This window comes from Homo sapiens, chromosome 2, assembly GCF_000001405.40.
Source record: "Homo sapiens chromosome 2, GRCh38.p14 Primary Assembly".
Lineage (NCBI taxonomy): Eukaryota > Metazoa > Chordata > Mammalia > Primates > Hominidae > Homo > Homo sapiens.
In genome coordinates this window covers 42,082,753-42,103,143 of record NC_000002.12, presented here as the reverse complement: position 1 = coordinate 42,103,143, position 20,391 = coordinate 42,082,753, and the positions used below count along the sequence as shown (strand labels likewise).

General features: G+C 48.4%; 1 long non-coding RNA gene across 1 annotated transcript, besides 9 other annotated features; it reads left to right on the top strand.

Moving 5' to 3' along the window:
* Window positions 570–1,089: an enhancer, noted in NCBI's record as "active region_15641". NCBI's record gives its function as "activates an Ori minimal core promoter by ATAC-STARR-seq in GM12878 lymphoblastoid cells {active_cell/tissue: GM12878}" and the evidence as "EXISTENCE:reporter gene assay evidence [ECO:0000049][PMID:35858748]".
* Window positions 570–1,879: a biological region, named in NCBI's record as "H3K27ac-H3K4me1 hESC enhancer GRCh37_chr2:42328443-42329270".
* Window positions 1,014–1,841: an enhancer, noted in NCBI's record as "H3K27ac-H3K4me1 hESC enhancer chr2:42328443-42329270 (GRCh37/hg19 assembly coordinates)". NCBI's record gives its function as "activates a minimal SCP1, AML or CMV promoter by ChIP-STARR-seq in primed H9 embryonic stem cells {active_cell/tissue: H9 hESC(primed)}" and the evidence as "EXISTENCE:reporter gene assay evidence [ECO:0000049][PMID:30033119]".
* Window positions 1,500–1,879: a silencer, noted in NCBI's record as "silent region_11400". NCBI's record gives its function as "represses an Ori minimal core promoter by ATAC-STARR-seq in GM12878 lymphoblastoid cells {active_cell/tissue: GM12878}" and the evidence as "EXISTENCE:reporter gene assay evidence [ECO:0000049][PMID:35858748]".
* Window positions 2,060–2,139: an enhancer, noted in NCBI's record as "active region_15640". NCBI's record gives its function as "activates an Ori minimal core promoter by ATAC-STARR-seq in GM12878 lymphoblastoid cells {active_cell/tissue: GM12878}" and the evidence as "EXISTENCE:reporter gene assay evidence [ECO:0000049][PMID:35858748]".
* Window positions 3,403–3,492: a silencer, noted in NCBI's record as "silent region_11399". NCBI's record gives its function as "represses an Ori minimal core promoter by ATAC-STARR-seq in GM12878 lymphoblastoid cells {active_cell/tissue: GM12878}" and the evidence as "EXISTENCE:reporter gene assay evidence [ECO:0000049][PMID:35858748]".
* Window positions 3,613–3,672: an enhancer, noted in NCBI's record as "active region_15639". NCBI's record gives its function as "activates an Ori minimal core promoter by ATAC-STARR-seq in GM12878 lymphoblastoid cells {active_cell/tissue: GM12878}" and the evidence as "EXISTENCE:reporter gene assay evidence [ECO:0000049][PMID:35858748]".
* Window positions 3,863–4,182: an enhancer, noted in NCBI's record as "active region_15638". NCBI's record gives its function as "activates an Ori minimal core promoter by ATAC-STARR-seq in GM12878 lymphoblastoid cells {active_cell/tissue: GM12878}" and the evidence as "EXISTENCE:reporter gene assay evidence [ECO:0000049][PMID:35858748]".
* LOC105374531 (uncharacterized) lies at window positions 5,351–19,670 on the top strand. The gene is made up of 2 exons (XR_940001.1): window positions 5,351–5,527; window positions 19,124–19,670. It is a non-coding gene; the product is annotated as an uncharacterized LOC105374531 (long non-coding RNA).
* Window positions 16,535–16,594: an enhancer, noted in NCBI's record as "active region_15637". NCBI's record gives its function as "activates an Ori minimal core promoter by ATAC-STARR-seq in GM12878 lymphoblastoid cells {active_cell/tissue: GM12878}" and the evidence as "EXISTENCE:reporter gene assay evidence [ECO:0000049][PMID:35858748]".
* Window positions 19,671–20,391: the final 721 nt, after the last annotated feature.

Sequence of the window (20,391 nt, the reverse complement as noted above, 5' to 3'; positions counted from 1 at the left end):
AAAAAGAAAAAGTTTAGAATCAAATTTTAGATTGTAAACTCTGATTGAGGTTGTTGCCTTCCAACTATGCTTATTCATCTAGAAAGAGAAGTCAGCATTTCTTGAAGTCTGGTCGCAGTATGGGGTCCCTGAGAGAAGGCCTCTCTAAAAATACCAGGGGGAGGGAGGGAGAGGTATGCGATTGAGAGTTAGGGAGGTGGTTCCAGAGAAGAGGGCAAGCCCTCAGGTTGGGCCGCCAGAGGCTCCCAGGAGAAGAAAGAAAGGGAAGCCAGGCCTGCATCCTGGTGGAGCCCGCTCCTCCCACCGCGGGGAGATCCGCCCTCAGCGCTGTGGTGGCCGGAAGTGCTGGTCTAGGGCGGGTGGGGGCGAGGGGCTGCCTGGGAGGTCAGTCTCCCGGCTGGGCTGGGATATTTATAGCACCTGGGTTTCTGGGTCTGCCTCCACCTGGATTTATTTATGCGGCCTGTGGCTGTGGCGCCTGTGGAGAATGAGGCGGGGTGGGGTGGGGGGGGGCGCGGATCTCGCTGCAAGGGTCTAGTTCTTGGCCTTGGGACTCTAGCTGGACTGGAAACGACAAATCACAACCAGGGGCTGTCTGGGGGAACACAGGCAGAGCAGCACTTGGTGCTGCGCCTGCAAAGCCGCCGATGGTTGGGCCTGTTGAAACTCGGGGCTTTCCAGATTCACGCGGTGTCGCCTTTGCGGCCGCCGTGGGCGTGGGTTAGGCAGGTGTGGGCGACGGGGAAGCGATCCCCTCCCCCGCAAGTCACCCCGGGCTCCGGTTCTCACGCCTTCCTCCGCAGCTCCTGGGAAGAATTAAAGGCGGAACAATGTTCCGTCTCCGGAGGGATCTGTACTTGGAAAGAGAACTCAGAGAGCACGTGGTGGCCGGCCCCATCTGCAGACCCAAAACTAGAGAGTCCACGTTTGCGAACCCATCTGCACTTTCGACTTTCCCTGATCACTACGTGTCTGGCTGCTCTCAGACTGCGATGACATCATTTAAAAAAAATGTAAATAACTGTCCTTTGGGTCTTTCAAGAACCTAGTGATTGAGGAGAGGGCAACGGTGAATCTCGAGGAAGGCTGTGTCGTGGGACCTTCAGGCATTGTTTAATCTGTGCAGGGCGCAGTCTTGGGCAGGCCCCAGCCCTCTCCTCTGCCCACTCGCAAAGCCCGGCCTGCTTGCTCCACCGGCAACTGGGCTGGAGGAGAGGCGAGGGGCAGGGTGGGTGCTAAGATCCTGTGCGAAAAGCCAGGACCCTCGTGGTACCTAGGGAAATGAAAATCGCGTTGACAGTAGTCCAACGCTTTCCTTTTCTCATTCACCCCTCGGGCAGCACAACGAGACAGGCACTCCTGCCAACGTCCCCATTTCACAGATGGAGAAACTGAGGCTTAGGCAAAGCAATTTGCCCCAGGGTGACGGAGCAAGCGTCAACTTCAGTTTCCAGCTCGGACGCGAGGGGCCGTCGGGGGCGTTCCGGGGAGGGGGTGCCTGGGCCGGGGGCGGCCACGCGGGGCTGGGAGAGGTTCCAGCAGCGGCGCGTGGTGTAGCCGGCGTCCGGCGGGACTGCACGGGCCTGGAGCCGCTGGAAAGGCCGGTCTGGTGGCCCGGGACGAGGGGGCGGCCTTCCCGGAATCCCGAGCAGCACGGCGGAGCCGGGGCAGCTGCCAGGCGCGGCTGGGGACCGGCTCGCGCTGCGGTTGGCGGCGGGCAGGCCACATACCGCGCAGCGTGGAGGAAATGGCTGGGATTCCTCCTGCGGCGCCGCGCGGGCCTCGGGGAGGGCGGGGCTCCCCCAGTGTGTCGGGGCGGGGGCGGGGCGCGGCGGAGGGTGAGCGGGGATCCTGGCGCTGGCGGGGGCGCCCCGACCTGAGTCCTCGTCCCTGGAGCGCTCCCGCCACTTTGCCAGCATCTGGGCCTCCAGAGCCCCGTGAACCCTCGAGAAGGGGAGCACGTGAAGGGGCTCCCCGGCCACGCCCAGCCTCCTGCCCAGTCTCTGCCTCAGGCCTAAGGGTTCAAGAGGGGCCTGAGTCACCCACCTGCAGAGCGGCCCTGCAGCCCCTGCTGATCCGAATCAGGCCCTGCCTTCTGGGGTGGCGCACGACACGCGTGGGGCCCAGCGAAGAGGATGCTGAGGACCTGGACGCTGCTCCGGACAGTGAGGCCTCCGCAGGTCCCAGTTTCAGCTTTGGAAAGTCCTGGCCACTGACGTCCTCAGTGTTCTAGGCCCAGCCTCAGGCCTTTCTGCTGCAGGCATGGTGGGCCAGGCGGAGTCGGCTTCTAGGGGATGAGGCTTGCCCTGAGAGAGAGGCCGGCCCCTTGTGAGATTGTTGGCTGCATTGTGGTGGGTGAAGTTTAGAGGCAGAGCCGGGAGGGTGGCACTGAGGTCAGTCTTGACCTGGGCCTGAGTGAGGAGGCCGCTTTACACTATACTGGGGAGTGGAGGCATGAGAAGATGGAAAACCTGGGGGTTGGGTTAGCTTGAGAAAGCTCCCAGCTTCCCCCGGACACAAGCAAAAACATGATTTGGCTGGGGAAGTGGAAGAGGGGAAGGTGAATTGAGGGTCTTAGATTGGGTCCCCTATAACATCTGCTAGGAAGGTGGCCCCTGGCACTTGGAACAGGGACTGATTGATGGATCCATGATCTCTTTCCTCCATCAGTCTCCACTAGGATGTCAGATCCAGTCAAGAGTGGCGTTTGAGAGGCGTTACCATCTGCCCTGCACCCCTAAACCCTTCCCGCTGCAGACTGCTGTACTGACACCCTCCTGCCCTTCTCTGGTTTCCAGCTCCAATGGCGTCTATTCTCTATGAATTATTCCTTGATCCCCGCAACTTCTACTCCTTCCATCTGCTTCCACGGCCACGTGATCGCACTTTTCACACTGGATCATGAATATTTGCTTGTGAACTTATCTCCCCAGCTTGACAATAGCTCTATAAGGGCAGAGATTGGCTAAATCTTTTATTAACTTTGTGGACCTACTGTCTTAGGCCAGTTTCCCGTTGCTATAAGGAAATACCCGAGACTAAGCAATTTATAAAGAAGAGAGGTTTAATTGGCTCATGTTTCTGCAGGCTTTACAGGAAGCATGGTGCTGTCATCTGCTCAGCTTCTGGTGAAGCCTCAGGGAGCTTTCAATCATGGTGGAGGGCAAAGGAGGAAGCTGTCATCTCACATGGCCAGAGGAGGAGCAAGAGAGAGCATGGGGGGAGAGGTGCCACATACTTTTAAATGACCAGATCTCGTGAGAACTCACTATGGTGAGGAGAGCACCAAGCCATGCAGGACCCACCCCCATGACCAAGACACCTTCCCACCTCCAACAATGGGGATTACGATTCATTATGAGATTTAGAGGGGATACACATCCAAACCTGCTGTCTAGAATTGTGCTTGCCTTACAGTAAATGCACCACCTGTTTGTTGAATGAATGAGAGAAAGAGGAAGGAATTGGGTGGGGACAGTATAAATGAAAGCAGAGACCAGAGGAAACACAGGCCAGATGTGAAACTTGCTAGAAAGCTCTCATCTTTGCTTCCTGCATACACAGAGAACTTGCTACCCAGACCCTGCCCTGCCCTTTCTTACCTGCCATTCCGAGGTGGGCCCAGTCCAGAGGGTCTAGCACCACCGCTTCCCCAAGACCACTCTGAACTGCACACCTTGATACTAACTTCAATGCCAACCCCCACTCTCTCTCTCTTACCCTGGCTTGAGGCTCTGAGTTTGGCTTAGTTGCTTTGCACCTGTTTCTGTAGCCCACCATCCCCCCACCTCTGCTCCCCATGCTGGTGTACCTCATTTCTCAGCTTAGGGCTCCACAAGGTGGATGGATCCATGATCTCTACATGAAGTGGTGTTGTCCAGCCATTTCAAATAAAACCAGGGCTTGGGAGGTATGCCCTGGCCCAAGGCTGGGGGCAAGCATGGTGGTGGCTTTGTCTGCCTGCCTCCAGGGTAGGATGGCTTCAAGCTCGGAAGCAGAACAGAGATGGAGTTTCCCAACTTAGCCCACATCACCTGAGCCCGAGTGGCCTGCTGAAGTTTCCACCACTTCAGGGACTTCCAAGTAGCCTGATCTAGGCCTGGGGAGGGGCTCCCTTCAGAGCAAGTCCTCTGCCAGGCCCTGGGAGGAAATAGGAGACCCGAGCCAGGTCTGTCCTGATGCACTTGCCCCTCCTCAGACCGGCCTGATGGGCGTCTGTGGGACTCAGGAGCGTCAGGGAATGAGATGTCACTTCCAACATTGCCTCTGGACACTCCTCCACAAGGAGCAGGCCTAGGAGGCCCTGGCAGACCTTTCACACAGACACAGGCAGACAGAAACGCAGCCAACTCACAGTGACAGCATTGGTTCCGGGAATTTTGAAAGTCAAAACCCCAATATTTTTTCACAAGAAAAAGGAACAGATTTTGGCATCTTTGCTTCAGAAACAGGAACTGACCAAGACAGTGACCTCTGATCATCACTTCCTCATTGCACTGCTCAGAAGCGGGTGGGCTCCCTCAGCCCTTTGACTTTCCCCTCAGGGTTCTGGGGGCAGAAGCCCCAGGGCTTTAAGGAACAGCAGAGGAAAGAAGAGAAGGGGAAGGAAAGGCATGGCAGAGGAGAGGGAAGGGAAGGAGAGAGATTTTCTAGGTGGTCAGTCCTTGAGGATTGAGGAGGCCAGGAGCCTGGTGGGGGTGGGGGGAGTTAGGGCCAGGAGGTACTTGGCACCTGGTAGGTCTCAGTGTGGCCTTATTTTTATCTTGTCATGGAAAGAGCATCAGTGTGTGGACCCTTTGAAGCTCACGGTTCATTGCTCCTGTGTCTTGTAGCATTGAAGTACAGCTGTCCACATTCACAGCAGACTTAGCTGTAGCACCTCTGAAAGTTGTTTTTGTTTTTTGTTTTTTGAGATGGAGTCTCATTCTGTCACCCAGGCTGGAGTGAAGTGGCGCGATCTCAGCTCCCTGTAACCTCTGCCTCCCAGGTTCATGCGATTCTCCTGCCTCAGCCTCCTGAGTGGCTGGGATTACAGGTGCCCACCACTATGCCTGGCTAATTTTTTTTTATTTTCAGTAAAGATAGGGTTTCACTATGTTGGCCAGGCTGGTCTCAAACTCCTGACCTCAGGTGGTCCGCTGGCTTTGGACTCCCAAAGTGCTGGGATTACAGGCGTGAGCCACTGCGCCTGGCTGCTCTGCATGTTTTGAGCATCTACTCCATGTCAGATGGGTTGCTGGATGCTGGGTGAATAAGAAACAGATTTTTCCCTTGCAGTGCTTAGCGTCTAATAGAAGGATCTGGTATTTGAATAATAAACATTAAAATAATGAAGCTGAGGATGACAATTGCCAAGAGAGGAGGGAGAGGCTACACTGGGTTGGGGTGGAGCATGAAAGGCATGAGGAAGGAGGTGGCATTTGAAGTGGGCCTTGAAAGGCGGTGGTCATTTGTCAGGTGGAGATGGGAAAGGAGGACCTTCCAGGGAAAAGGAGCCGCCTCAGCAAAGGTGCAGGGGAGAGAAAGTGTGAGTATATCTGGGGAGCTGAGAGTGTGGGGTGCAGGTGGGTACAGAGGAATAATGGGAGAAGTGGCTGGAGCAGGAGGTGAGGTCCACTTTGCAGAGAGCCCTGAGTGCCAGACTGAGGTATGTGGATTTCCTCAGAGGTTCATGGGGAAGCCTTGACCGGCAGTGGCATCATATATCCGTCACCAAGTGCTGCTGGAAGCGCGGAGAAAGGACCGAGGCAATGGGGAGGACTGAGCAGCCAGAACCAGCCATGATGACAACTCAGCCTTTTAGCATGTTTGGCATTGCCAGCCCTCATAGTGCGCAGCGACCTGAAATTGGTCCCATTTACTAGATCTTTGTTCGTTCAAGGTTTTTCCTACAAAACTAAGTTTCAGTTCCCCTGTGAAGTGAGCAAAGAGAATATTGATGGTGCTATCTATGTTCTTGTGTGAAATGACCAGAGCAGGAGTCACTGTGGGCAATCAGAGGCCTTCTTTCTCCTGGACAGGCTATGGAAGGGTGCCAGGGTGGGGAGGGGTTAGGAAGCAGTCAGGGTGGGGAAGGGTTAGGGAGGAGGAGCCAGGGTGGGAAAGGGTTAGGGAGGAGGTGCCAGGGCCAGATGTGCACTGGGCAGAGACCTCTGGATCAAAAGGTCCTTAAGAAGATCAATTGGACCCTCCTCTGGCTCCATGGCTCTGTCCTTAACAGAGCACTTCTCATACGGGGTGCGATGGAACTTCCTCAGCAGTAGGCAGAGAGGGTTGTATTGGTTGTTATTTATTTATTTGAGACAGGGTCTCACTCTGTTGCCCAGGCTGGGGTGCAGTGGCACGCTCATGGCTCACTGCAGCCTCTACCTCCCACGCTCAAGTGATCCCCCCACCTCAGCCTCCCTAGTAGCTGGGACTACAGGCGTGTGCCACCACACCCAGCTAATTTTTAAATTTTTTATAGAGATGGGATTTTGCCATTTGCCCAGGCCGGCCTTGAACTCCTAAGCTCAAGTGATCCTCCTTCCTTGGCCTCCCAAAGTGCTGGGATTACAGGTGTGAGCCACTGTGCCCAGCTCTGTTATTATTATTTTCTTAATAAGCTTTATTTCTCTTCGTAGATTGTAAACTCCTACAGGGCAGAGGTGGTGTTTCCCATAGGTCCTAGTACTCACTAGGCACTAAATAAAAGTGAGCTGAAGGAAAGGATCAGGGTTAGATGCCCCATTATGAGGAGGAGAAGCCTTAGGGGTGATAGCAAACAATACGTTTTATTGTTTTATCATACATCCCCCTGCTGACCCCTCTGTGACTTCTATGAGTGTGACCATGAATCCAACAGACCCTTTGTGGGGGTCTTTGCTGATGGGTCAGCCTCTCTGAACTTCTCTCCTTCCCCCATTTCTTCCATGGGGCATGTTAGCATTTCATCAACTCATTCTATACATATTTATTATCTTCAATTTGTTAGAGATGGTGCTGGGTATGGGAATACAATGGTAAAATTTTCCTTGCTAGTTATGATTTTGGGCGCCACCTGCTGGGCATATGTAGGCACATACACACAAAGTTTTGTGTAAATGTACACATTAAGATGCCAACTAAAACATACAAAGGGAGACACAGCTGTGTACACAGAGTAAAACATATACTTGTTCACAAACAGGCACACATATGTGAAAACATAGAAACACAAATGTAGAAATGTAGGCTCCAGCATAGTACCTCCACCTTAGTAGGAGTCCAGTAAATACTTGCTAGTCTGTAAAAGAAGATGCAGTTCTTTGGATCTACTTCTTCCAGGCTTATTTTTCACCACCCTTTCTAGCCAATTAGACAAGAATGCTGTGTTGTCACTTGCCCCCTTCCTACATTCCTCCCCCCCATTCTATTAATTCTTTTTATTTTTATTTAGTTATTTATTTTGAGACAGGGTCTCACTCTGTCGCCCAGACTGGAGTGCAGTGGTGCGATCAAGGCTCACTGCAATCTCTGCCTCCCAGGCTCAAGTAATCCTCCCATCTCAGCCTCTTGAGTAGCTGGGACCACAGGTGCATGCCAGCATGCCTGGCTAATTTTTTTTTCGTAGACATGGAGTTTCACCATGTTGCCCAGGCTGGTCTCAAACTCCTGGACTCAAGCCATCTGCCTGTCTCGGGCTCCTAAAATGCTGGGATTACAGGCATGAGCCACTGCACCTGGCCTATTAATTCTTTAAGACCTAGCTCAGGCTGGGCGCGGTAGCTCACACCTGTAATCCCAGCACTTTGGGAGGCCGAGGCGGGTGGATCATCTGAGGTCAGGAGCTCAAGATCGGCCTGACCAACATGGTGAAACCCTGTCTCCACTAAAAATACAAAAATTAGCTGGGCCTGGTGGCGGGGACCTGTAATCCCAGCTACTCTGGAGGCTGAAGCAGGAGAAAATCACTTGAACCTGGGAGGCGGAGGTTGCAGTGAGCTGAGATTACGCCATTGCACTCCAGTCTGGACAACAGAGCAAGACTCCTTCTCAAAAACAAAATAAAACAAAACAAAAGAAGACCTAGCTCAGATGCCACCTTCTGCAGGTGCAAGCCTGTAGCAACTCAGATGAACCTTCTACCAGCTAAGGGAATGACTTTCTCTTCTGAACTTTCATAACTTTATGATATTTGTCATTTTACTAACTTGCATTTTGGCTCTTTGGGGATGCGTGTTTTCTCCTTTTCTGGTCTGTAATCTCCTTGAGGGTAGAATTTGTGGTTGACCGATGTTAGTGTTCCCCCATAGTGCCTGGCATGCTGCCTTGTACAAAGGGAGGGGCTCAATAAATATTTGCTAAATAAATGACACAGTTATGGACACAGAGGAACATGAATTTACAGAAATGCACATCTACTTATATACATTTCTCTATCTTTGCAAAAGTTATACACATTTACAAGAAAGCACAGAAAAACATCTCTAGGCCTATAGCTGTGAGTAGACACATCCCTTCAGCTAAGCCCTTTTTAATTTCTGCTGTCTTCATTTCAATTCAGATCTTCATCCTATTTACTTCATCAATTGCCTCTTAATGTGCTTGGTTTGCTAGTTCTTCTCTTTCCACTTTTTCTATTGTCCCCTGGGCTGTACCCTCCTAAAACACCTCTTTGAGGATGTTATTCATCAGCTCAGAATTCTAGCAGTTTTTGCTTCCCTGCATGATAGTGTCTAGAAAAAGCTAAATCTTTTCTTGTCTGCTCTCCCTTTAGGAAAGGGAGTCATAGTTACAACCAGTGAAAATGGTGGATGTGGTCTCTAGAAACATGTGCCAATGCCTGTTAAAAGAAACTTGTATATCTTCCAATCTGATGAGGTGGCTGGTGCCACCTGTTCTCCTTCCTTACTGCCATGAATTTGTTTACAGAGGAGCTGCAGCAGCCATTTTGCAACCATCAGGGAATAACCAAGATGCTGCTCTTGACCTTGAGCAACTGAACAAATGATACTACTTCTAGATTCCTTGTTTATGTAAGAAAAATAAACCTTTGTTTAAGCCACTGCAAGTTGTTTTCTATGACTTGCATCTGGATGTAATCCCAACTCGTGATACTTAAATATCCCACTTCTCCTGATACCCGCAGGACAAAGCCTAATTTCCTCAATCTGATATTGTAGAGTATTTGTGATCTGGCTCCGCTCTACTCATCCAATCATGTTTCCTAGTATTCTTCTTATAGCCACACCCTAGTCCAAGCCTCCATTTTCACCTGTTGTCTAGACAAGTTGATTAACTTCCCAGCTCATCTCTTTGCTTCCACCACAGAACTCCTCCAATCCATCCTTCTCACAGCAGCCAAGAGAGATCCTTTTAAAACATGGTATCTCTTCTGTGCTTAAATCCCTTCAATGGCTTTTTTTTTTTTTCGAGATGGAGTTTCGCTTTTGTTGCCCAGGCTGGAGTGCAATGGCGCGATCTCAGCTAACTGCAACCTCTGCCTCCTGAGTTGAAGTGATTCTCCTGCCTTAGCCTCCCAAGTAGCTGGGATTACAGGCATGCACCACCACACCTGGCTAATTTTGTATTTTTAGTAGAGATAGGGTTTCACTATGTTTGGTCAGGCTGGTCTTGAACTCCTGACCTTGGGTGATCCACCTGCCTCAGGCTCCCAGAGTGCTGGGATTACAGGCATAAGCCACCTGCACCTGGCCTCAATGGCTTTTTATTACACTTTAACTCAAATCTGAACTCCTCAATAAAACTCAGACTCCTACGAGGCTCTGGCAGCCTCAAGATCCGTGGTCTTCAACCCTTGCTGCATATTAGAATCACCTAGGACTATTTCAAAGATTATCAGAGGTTGAGTTTCACACCTAAACATTCTGATTTAATTGCTCTCGGATGGACCTGGGGCACTGATATTTTTGATATATTCCTTGGTAGATTCTAAAGTACAGCCAGGATTGAGGTCCCTGATTTAGACCTTGCCTATTAACTCCATGCTTACCTAGCACCCACATGGTCACTATGCTTTAATCATATTGATTTCTTAATTCCTCAAAATGTGCCAAACTCTTTGCTGCTTCTGAACCTTTGTAGATGTGATTCCTTCTGCCTGGGAGGCTCTTGCCTTTGCTTGCCATAGGTCTGCTTGTTCTTATCTCTAAGACTCAGTTTAAGTGTCTCCTGTCCAGAGAAGCCTCCTCTAACTACTTAATCTAAAATTGTCCCCCATGTCATTCTCTGTTGCAATTTCCTAATTTCTTTCTTGATACTTGCTGCCACTTAAAAATGATATGTTTGTCTTTTAAAATCTTTATCTCATACTAGATTGTTGTCTGCAGAAGAGCAGTTTATAATCTATGTTTTGTAGGGTACCCCTCTTACAATCAGAGCCTCACACATAGTAGGTATGTCAAGAATTGTGAAGGAGTCTGAAATTTACTGTATTTGTAAGTTAACAAGTTAGCTTGCTACCATTTCACGGATGCTGGCAGAAGACAAAAGACTTCTAGGTCAGAGACAAAGGGCTTTATTATTCACAGCATCAGCAGCGGCCGGAGTACAAACATTTGCCCTGGTTCCTGTGCAACTTCCTGAGACTCAAAGAACCAGGGCAAATGTTTGTACTTTGGCCACTGCTGTTTCTGTGAGTAATGAAGAAGTCTGAGTAGCATGTGCCCATGTAGAGGGCTGCATTACAGAAGAGGAACCCTGAGCTTAGGGAACCACGAGCATTCAAAATGGGCACTTTGCCTACTTGAACTTTGTCCTGGGGGAAGACAATATCTTTCTAGCAGTGGACAATACACAAACCTACCCTTTCCTCCACAGGGAGACATAATCTCTATCTTTCACAGCTGTTTACTGTACAAACATTCTTGAAAAGATAGGAACAGAGGTGGTTAGTGCCTTGGCTTGTAAGATATGCAGAAATGGGAGAGACGCGTGGAGAACCCTTTGATCACTCAGGCTTTCTGCCTGGAGGCACTTTTCAGAGCAAGCACAGGAGAGGGGAACCTAACAGAGTTGGGAGTCCTCATTTAGTTGATGTGTTGAGATTGGAAGTCCGCTAGGCTGAGGCAGCTGGAATTTGTGGACAGAGTACTGGAGAGAAGGGAGGTATGCAGAGAAGGAGCTCCAGCAATCTGCATGGGGTTTCCTTGAATTTTGGCAAAACAGTAAGCTGTGCGTGTGTGGGATAAGACTCCGCTAAGCCAGGTGAACAGCTTTTAGCAACACAGCTACCGGGAAGCCATAAGGTGAACAATTTCCAGAGCTCACATCTCATCAGATTGGAAGATGTGCAAGTTTCAACTAGCCAGAGTGGAGTGTGGAGAGACATTCTTGCATGTTTGGAGCATTTAGTAGAGATCTTAGTAGTAAGATATCTTAGTTTTGGCTGCTATAACAAAGTGTCACAAGCTGGGATATAAACAATAGAAATTGTGGCTTATAAGCAATAGAAATTTATTTCTCATAGTTCTGGAGGGTGGAAGTCTGAGATCAGGGTGTCAGCATGGTTGGGTTCCACTGAGGGCCCATCCTGGCTGCAGACAGCTAACTTCTTGTATCCTCATATTGCAGAAAGACAGCAAAATAGCTCTCTGGGGTCCCTTTTATAAGGGCACTAATCCCATTCATCAGGGCTCCACCTTCATAGCCTAATTATGTCCCCAAAGCCCCACTTCCTAACACCATCACTTTGGGAGTTAAGATGTCAACACGTAAATTTTGGGAGGACACAACCATTCAGTCCATTACATAGAGTAAAACTGGCCTGGGTGAAGGTAGAGTAAAACTAACTGGGCGAAGGTACTCTAGATCAGGGTTTCTCAACCTTGGTACTATTTATATTTGTGTGTGTGTGTGTGCTTGAATAATTATTTGTTGTAGAGGGCTTTCCTGTGCGTTGTAGAATGTTTAACAGCATCACTGACTTCTATCCATTAGATACCAGTAGCATGCTCCTAATTGTGACAACCAAAAATATCTCCAGAAATTGACAATATCCCCAGGGTTGGGGTGGGGACAAAATCACACCCAATTTAGAACACTGCTCTAGAACCACCCCAATAAAGCACAGAAACAAGCCTCACAACCATTTAGCTTCTCTGTAAGTAGCTCAATGACCTGACACCCCACTTCTGTGGTGCTTGAGTTTCTTCCTCCTTTGCTCTGCCACAGGGGAGCTCATGCTTGCACCCATCTCTCTCTGGAGGCTCCCATCTTTCCTTAGATTTCAGGCTGTTCAGTTGCATTGCAACCTCAGCTCCTGATAGACTCAAGAAAAGTCAAGAATTTTGTAGATTATCCATTTTTCTCTTGTCATTAAGGTTGGAACAATGCTCTTCCCAGTTTTCTACATCCTAGGCGGAAGAGCTAATCTCCATTAGATACTTCTGCTCTCCTTCAAGTCTCTACCTGCCAGACCCTGGGCCTTTCCCCTTTTCTCCTGCACTCCTCCCAGTGTCTCCTCCTTCCCTGGCCTTCCTCCTTGTAATCTTAGCCTCCTCGCTCTACAGTTCTGAGCAGTCATACTCTGGCCCTAAATGTGCCCTCCATCCAGTTAAACAACAGCTTGTCTCCTTAGAGCATAGCTGGACCCTATCCTGTGTCACTTGAGCATCTGTTGTTATCCTCAGCAGTGTGCCTCAACCACCTGCCCATACCTCCGCCCAACCAGCTTCTCGGAGTGTTCTTTCCATTGCTCATTCTGCTCCTTGGAAGGAGTGCTGAGAAATGCAGTTATCTCCTTTCTGTTACGCACACATATGAGAATGTCTGTGCCTGAGGCCTGCCTCCATGGCAGGACCTGAAGGTTCCTCGCCCACAGCACTTCAGCTGGGATTGTTTGATGAGCTTCTTCCCTTCTATTTTGGTCCTTAAAGTGCTTTCTCTGTCAATGGTATTAGCTTCGTCACCTTAAAACAGACACATGACATTCACTTTTATGTTTTTAGTTGTTTTTTATTACAGAAAGGGCGGTGAGTATGTGTGTGTTTCAACACAGCAGTTATTTATTAATTGACCAATTTTTCTTTTGCTGTGATTTATTTTATTTATTGGTATTAATAACTTAAGATCTTTCCACATATCTGGCCTATTTACAGTAAGTGTTCCCTAGGGAAGCTGACTGTTATCACCCATGGTAAGAATTGCGGGATACAAGGATGAAATATTGTGGGTCTTCTGGGAGGAACAGTGACCAAAAATTTGAGATCAGTGGTGAGGACACAATTGACTGAGAAAGGTGGAGAATGACGTTGTGGACAGTCTCTCTTGGCATTAACTGCTCTGGTGGGGGAGCACTTAACCCTGAGGTAGGGAAGGATCAAGATGCTGGGTACCAGTTGAAGGTGCTCCAGAAGATGCTTTTAAGGTGGAATGAGTGGGTAGTATTCTATGTCCTTCAACTTTGCCCCGGGGGGAAGATTTTAAAAGTCATTGAAGAGAAAGGGCTCTAGTGAAATTAAAAGAATCGGGCCACCCTTTGGAAAATTAATAGAGCCATAAATGCTAAGGGGTGCCTTTTCTCGACCGCGGCGGGCGTTGGTGGCAGGGCTGACTTGGGCCGCGCTGGGTGACAGTAGAGTGGTGGCGCGGGAGCGCGAGGAAATCCAGTGACTCCTGAGCTGCCCAGGATGTGGGCCGCCCGCTAGGGGGCAGCATTCTGCTGAAGAACACCCAGAGATGCTCCACCCTGGAGCATCTGGCCATGACAACTCATACATGGCCCATGACATACCCCCTGGCCATGACTACCTCAGAATTCCCAGATAGAATGGGTTAGGGGCCAGCAACAGTTAACTACTTTCAATGTTTTGGTAATTTCCTTCTAGTTTTTTTTTTACCTTTTTTTTTTTTTTTTTTAAATAAATAGATATGAATTTATTATGTATAAGATTTTGCGTTCTACTTTTGATACATATTTTCCCCCATGTCACAAAAAATTATTTGTGACTTTTTTTTTTTTTTTGAGACAGAATCTCACTCTGCTGCCGAGGCTGGAGTGCAGTGGCATGATCTCGGCTCACTGCAACCTCTGCATCCTGGGTTCAAGCAACTCTTCTGCCTCGGCCTCCTGAGTAGCTGGGACTACAGGTGTGGGCCACCATGCCCGGCTAATTTTTTTATTTTTAGTAGAGACAGGGTTTCACTGTGTTGGCCAGGCTGGTCTTGAACTCCTGACCTCAGGTGATCCACCTGCCTCGGCTTCCCAAAGCGCTTGGATTACAAGGCATGAGCCACCGCACCCGGCCTGTGACATCATTATTAATGACTGCCTACTTTTACATCATACCAATATAACATAATTCTCTGTTGAATGTTTGTGGATTCAATTTGTTTGCTATTGTAAATTATGCTAAAATGAAAATCTTTGTGCATAAATCTTTAAGATTATTTTGTAGTATAGATGTCTTCAGAACTACTAAATCCGTATGTATAAATATTTTTCAAGGTTTTTAAATATATTGTCAGATTGATTTTTAGTAGTTCTAACAATTTTCAGTGCTAGCAGCAATACATAAGGAGTGCTCATCTCTCCTAATATCTCTGGTTGTGACTAGTATCATAGGCAAAAATATATTTTCTAATTTGATAGTGTTAAATTAAGTTTGGCCTAGAGCCTGTCTTTTTTTTTTCTTCTTTTTTTTTTTGAGACGGAGTCTCACTCCATCACCCAGGCTGTAGTATGCAGTGGCGTGATCTCAGCTCACTGCAAACTCCGTCTCCCGAGTTCAAACGATTCTCGCGCTTCAGCCTCCCAAGTAGCCAAGACTACAGGTGCACACCACCATGCCCAGCTAATTTTTGTTTTATGGAATTACAGGTGCGTGCCACCATGCTTGGCTAATTTTTGTATTGTTAGTAGAGACAGGGTTTTGCTATGTTGGCCAGGCTGGTCTCTAACTCCTGACCTCAAGCGATCCGCCCACATTGGCCTTCCAAAGTGCTGGGATTACAGGCATGAGCCACTGTGCCTGGCCCTGGACCCTGTCTTTGTACATTGAGTTTCTATGTAATGATCTGTGACCTAACTTAGTAGGTACTAAAATCTAACTACTATACTTTTTCTAACAGATAGCTGGGTTTCAGCGAGTCACAAGCAGCTGAACTTCAGCCTATCATAGGTTGACAGCTGACCAGACCACGTCCAAATAAAGCAAATGCCTAGCTGTAATTAATCAAGCTATTTTTTTAAGTTACTTCCCTGTTCTAAAGTACTCACTGCCCACATTACAAAGGGAGCTCTCTGAACCTCTTCTGGTTCTGAGTGCTGCCTGATTAATGAATTGTTCTTTGCTAAAATAAGTTCTGTTAAATTTAATTTGTCAAAAGTTTTTCTTTTGACAATAAGTTAAAAAAATGTGTTAGGGGTCTGACTGGGGAGTAACAAGGCAGCTGCCATGCATCTGGGTTTGCTTAGTGAATGCAGTGTTTGTACTCAGCTGGCATGCTTCTATGAGATGGCCTTGGGGCACTGCCACTGTCCCCCACCCAAGTGACATAATGCAAATAAAACATGTTCCATAAAATATAAAGACAATTTAAATATACACTCCATTTATAGAGCAGCTGTGTTCCTGTGAAGCCGTCCTTTCAATGTTCAGTCCTCTTGTTAAGATGTCATATGCATATTGCTAGGTGAGGTAGTGAGGAGGGTGCTGATGCTGCTCCTGCTTTCAGGAGAGGACACAGGATAAGGAGCTCCATGGTGAGAGATGCTCCATTGGAATGTAGACCCCTTTGAGCTGGAGTTTTATTCACTGCTGATTTCCTTGTGGCTAGAAAGATGCCTGGCACACAGTAGGAGCATAACAAATATTTGTTGAATCAGTGAAACTGTAGTGACTCACATTGTAAAGCAATTCATCCTTTTATATTGCAGATTAAATCTCCATTTTCTCTGTTTTGTAAGCTTGATTTCAATGTTGGACTTGAAAAAAGTCTGGGCCCCATTGTCGTGTGAGCCAAGCGGTGTTTGCTTTCAAGGCAAGGACAGAGGAGAGAAAGAGGAGGAAAAAGTTAACTTCTGGGGAATATACTCATCTGCCAATGACAGGATATGATATAGAAACAAGTCTTTTGTCTCCAAAATCTCCATCAGTGCCCACCATCCAGAGCGGGTCAACTGGATTGACCAAAATAAAATCTCGGATGATGAGAAATTTCTCATATGTTAATTGTGGAATCAAAGCTTCATTTGTGGCTCCTGCTCCCACACTGGGCTGCTGCTTTTCAGGATGAGCATTTGGGTTCAAAGTTAGGAAGGAGTGAGGGTGCGCCCATGATGACCTGAGAGCTGACTGGAGGGACTGATGAAGGGGTAGTCCAGCACAGGGCCTGCATGGTCTCTGTTTTCTGAACTCTTGCTGCCTGACTTCCCGAGGCAGTGGGAGAAGATGGGACTGATTTCTGTGCAGCTGGGGCTGAAGGCTGGCTGACGGTCACCGGGCGGGTAGTCAGTGGAGGCTGCTAGAACTGGAGCAGAAGGAACTTTCTCTCAGTGTATTTCTCCAATTTGGCACCAGATGGCAACACCTCCCTTCAAATGAAACCAAAGTCTCCAGATTCAATAACAAAACCGTTACTTATTCTGAGGACATTGAGCAACCCTGCAGGATTTGGGTCTGGATTTGGGGAGGGGGCTTGACCACCTTGATGATCATGGAGCTAAGCTAGTTCTAGATCCTGTCTCCATCCATTCTTTCCATGAGTGATTATTGATTGAGAGCTTCCTATGTGCCCAGTCCTGGGCTGTGTGTTGGGGCGGGGAGGAGAATGGGGTACAGTAGTGAGCAACACCCATGCCTCCCTCCATGGCAACAGCCCCGACAGCTTTTACAGCCTAGTAAAGGAGATAGACATTAAGCAAATAAGTACAAAACAATGGACTCATTTCAATTGTGGGAAGTGTAATAGATGATAAATATGATACTATGAGACCATATCAACAGGAAGAATCTGATCTCATCTGAGCTGTCAGGAAAGGCTGCTCTGTCAATGGATTATCCTATCGACCCCCACCCCACACATACTTTGTTATATCTACCAACACACTCCCATTATATTCCCATTTTACGGCTGCTGGACCAACCCCAAAACATCCCATTATATCCCCAACAGGCAATCCCATCATAGCCTCCACTGCAGGTCTTAATTAAAGACCACATGCCGTCCTTCACACCTCATTCCTGGAACTTTTAACAAATGCCTTTACGATCCTTTCCCAATCTCCTCTGCAATCCCTGTTGCAAATCCCATGGCTCGCCCCATTGGAATATCCCACTGCAAACTCTCACAGAACCCTGGTCTTATTCACCTTTGCATTCCCTGTGCCTCCCACTGTACGTGACAGGTCATATGTTCTTGAAAATACTTGGCAAACCAATGACAGGACCTGTCAATACCCCAGCTCACATACTCTATCTCAGGCCTGTCATGGCTCCTATGGCACAGCCAAGGTCACAGCCCCCACACTGGAAAGGGTCAGGTCTCTGCTGCCCTTTTTCCTGTAGGAAATTCCTGAGAAGAAGATTGTGTACCTCTGGATCCTCCCTTCCCCTCATTGATCTCCATCAGCCTAGATAGGCTCCCAGAAGCTAGGTCCTGCCTGGGCAGTGGCCCGTCCTGAGGTCTGACTTGGTCCATGTCACCCCCATCCCAGAATCAGTGGAACACTCTTTGTGACCTCCTTGGAGTGTACCAGGCTCCTGATTATGGGCCTGCCAATGGGGCCTTTAGTAAGCAGCTTCCCCTCTCTCCTTCTCTGAAGGGCCAGAGAACTCAGAAGAAGACATCCTAGGGCAGGAAGAGACTGCAAGGGCATCATCTAATTCTTTTTTTGTTTGTTTGTTTTTTTAGACAGAGTCTCACTCTGTCACACAGGCTGCAGTGCAGTGATGCAATCTCAGCTCACTGCAACCTCTGTTTCCTGGGTTCAAGAGAATTCTCGAGCCTCAGCCTATCGAGTAGCTGGGATTACAGGTGCCTGCCACCATGCCTGGCTCATTTTTGTATTTTTAGTAGAGACGAGGTTTCACCATGTTGGCCAGGCTAGTCTCAAACTCCTAACCTCAAGCGATCTGCCTGCCTTGGCCTCCCTAAGTGGGAATTCATCTAATTCAACAACCCTCCTCCTTATTCTTCTTCCCCATCTTCTTCCCCTGCCTGCTCCTGTTTATCTGGTCTTTCTTTGGGGCATATAAAAGCACAGCCACCTCACTTAGCAGGCAAGGGCTGAAAGGAAGCACAAAGACCAAGTCTAACTCCTTCATCTAACAAGGGAGGAAACCAAGGCCCAGAGAGTGGAAGTCACTTGCCCACACCCAACAGTGGTCAGGGCAGAGCCAGATCTCCCCACGGTGCTCCATGCAGTGTTCTTTCAGAGGCTGCCCCTTCCACATCCTCTTGTTCATATTAGCCAAGCAATGCTACTTCCATCAGGAAGGCACGTCCAATGCGAACCATTCCAGAGACTGCATTTCAAAGATTGATAGACATGGCTTTCGCATTATCTGCTGTTTCGGATTAGCTATGCCGTGGCTTCATTCTTTGGGGCTGATATTGGGGGTGGGAGGGGTGGAGAGTGGGGGAGGGGAGCCAATTCTGAGTCACTCTCTATGCCCTGGGCTCCAGCCTGCAAGACTGGGCCTGAGAAGGACAGGGTGATCCATCCTATATTTTCAGTCCGTCAGGAGATTTCATTGTTTAAACAAACATTTCAGCGAGGCCATCCAGCTGGGCAGTGATTTATGGCTCTGGCTACAGTTTTTCCCCAACAAAGATAAACAATCCTGCAACTCTTGGGACTCAGGCTGGGACTCATGGTTCTAACAACTTGGAGTCAGCTGGACCACACCAGCCATCGCCTGGTCTGGGGTTTGGTTAGGATCTGTTCACACTGGTCCTGTGGCTGAGCCACAAACCTTGGGGGACCATGTTGTGTTTGGAAGCTAGAAGCATTGCCTCCAGGGCAGAGGAGAGCAGCAGGAAGGAGCAAAATAGCTCAGAGTTGGTGCTTCAGGCCCATCTCCGTCTTTCAGGAGAGCAGCAATGTTCTCCATTTTGTGCGGTAGATATTTGGTGTTTTTGGTTAACAAGCATCTGTTCTTCCTTCTTTTGCTAACATTACATCAATTTCCTTTTGTAGAATTATTCCGGGTTGCACACTGCACCCATGTGCTTACAGAGTCTACTCAACTCTTGGATCTGGGCTCAGGCCTGACCAATCAGAACAGTACATTCCTGTGATCTTAGTAAAGGTTGGATATCTAACCCAATAAAAGCTTGCAAAAGGCGGAAAAACCTTTGCTGGAGCTGCTGGGAGAGAGGGAAATGCTCTTTCTCGCTGGACTGGAATTGGGGATGATGTGGAAGGATGAATGACTGCTAGAGCTGTTGCTGCCATCTGCCTGCATGGGAGAGCATGTCTGACAACAAAACCAATACCAATACACAGGAAGTGAAGCCAAAGGCTGGAGAGAGACCAGCTCCAGGTGACAACATTGGAGCCCCAGAATCCGCCCAAATCTTCTTTTATTTAAGGATTGGGTATTCTTTCACTTGCAACTGAAAGAAGGGTAACCAATATCCACTGTCTGACATAGCAGAAGAAACTGGCTCAGTAGGCATCTCCTGCAGCCTCCAGCCCAGCTGTCTGGATGTGATGGTTTAGTAAAAGAACAGTAACTCCCTCATATTCCCCTCTCCCATTTGATCTGATGGCCTGTGTCTACTATACTTCACCAAAAGGATATGGTGCTGTGACAGATGCAGAGGTAACTGAAACACAGCTCACATTTTTCATGGAGTTCTTGTAAGCAGGGGGGACACACCATAGCCTATTATTTAAGGCAGATTGAGATGCATGTCTTGGGAAAAGAACAAACAAGGTTTTTTTGAAGATGCAAGGAAAGAAGAGCTCATATCTGATTGGTGGGGACCAGTGGATGCTTCATGGAAAAGGGCTATTTGGGATGAGTCTTCAACGATGAGAATTTTAATGGGCAGACATGGGCAGGAGCCTTTGCAGGTAGATGAAATAGTGTGATGAAGGTCAGGGAGGTGGGAAAGATGAAGTGAACATTGAAAAGTAGAGTTGGACTGGAAGACAGGGGACATTTAGGGGAATCACCAGCCTGCAAAGTAAGTTGGTGTCATCTAGGAAGATGCCTCTAATGAGAAGCTTGTTCTTAGTCCAGTAGGTGATGGGGAGTTATTGAACATTCTTGAGCAGGGAAGTGGCCTCATTGGTGCTACTCTTGAGGGGCCTGAGATGGAGGTGGGGAGAGATCCAGTGTGGAAAAACCACTGAGGTGGGATTGGGAGGTAACCTTGACTCATCCACAGGATGGGGAGAAAGCCAGGGAAGGAAAGGCAGGGAGTGAAAACAGGAAGTAGTTCTGGTTTCTCTTCATT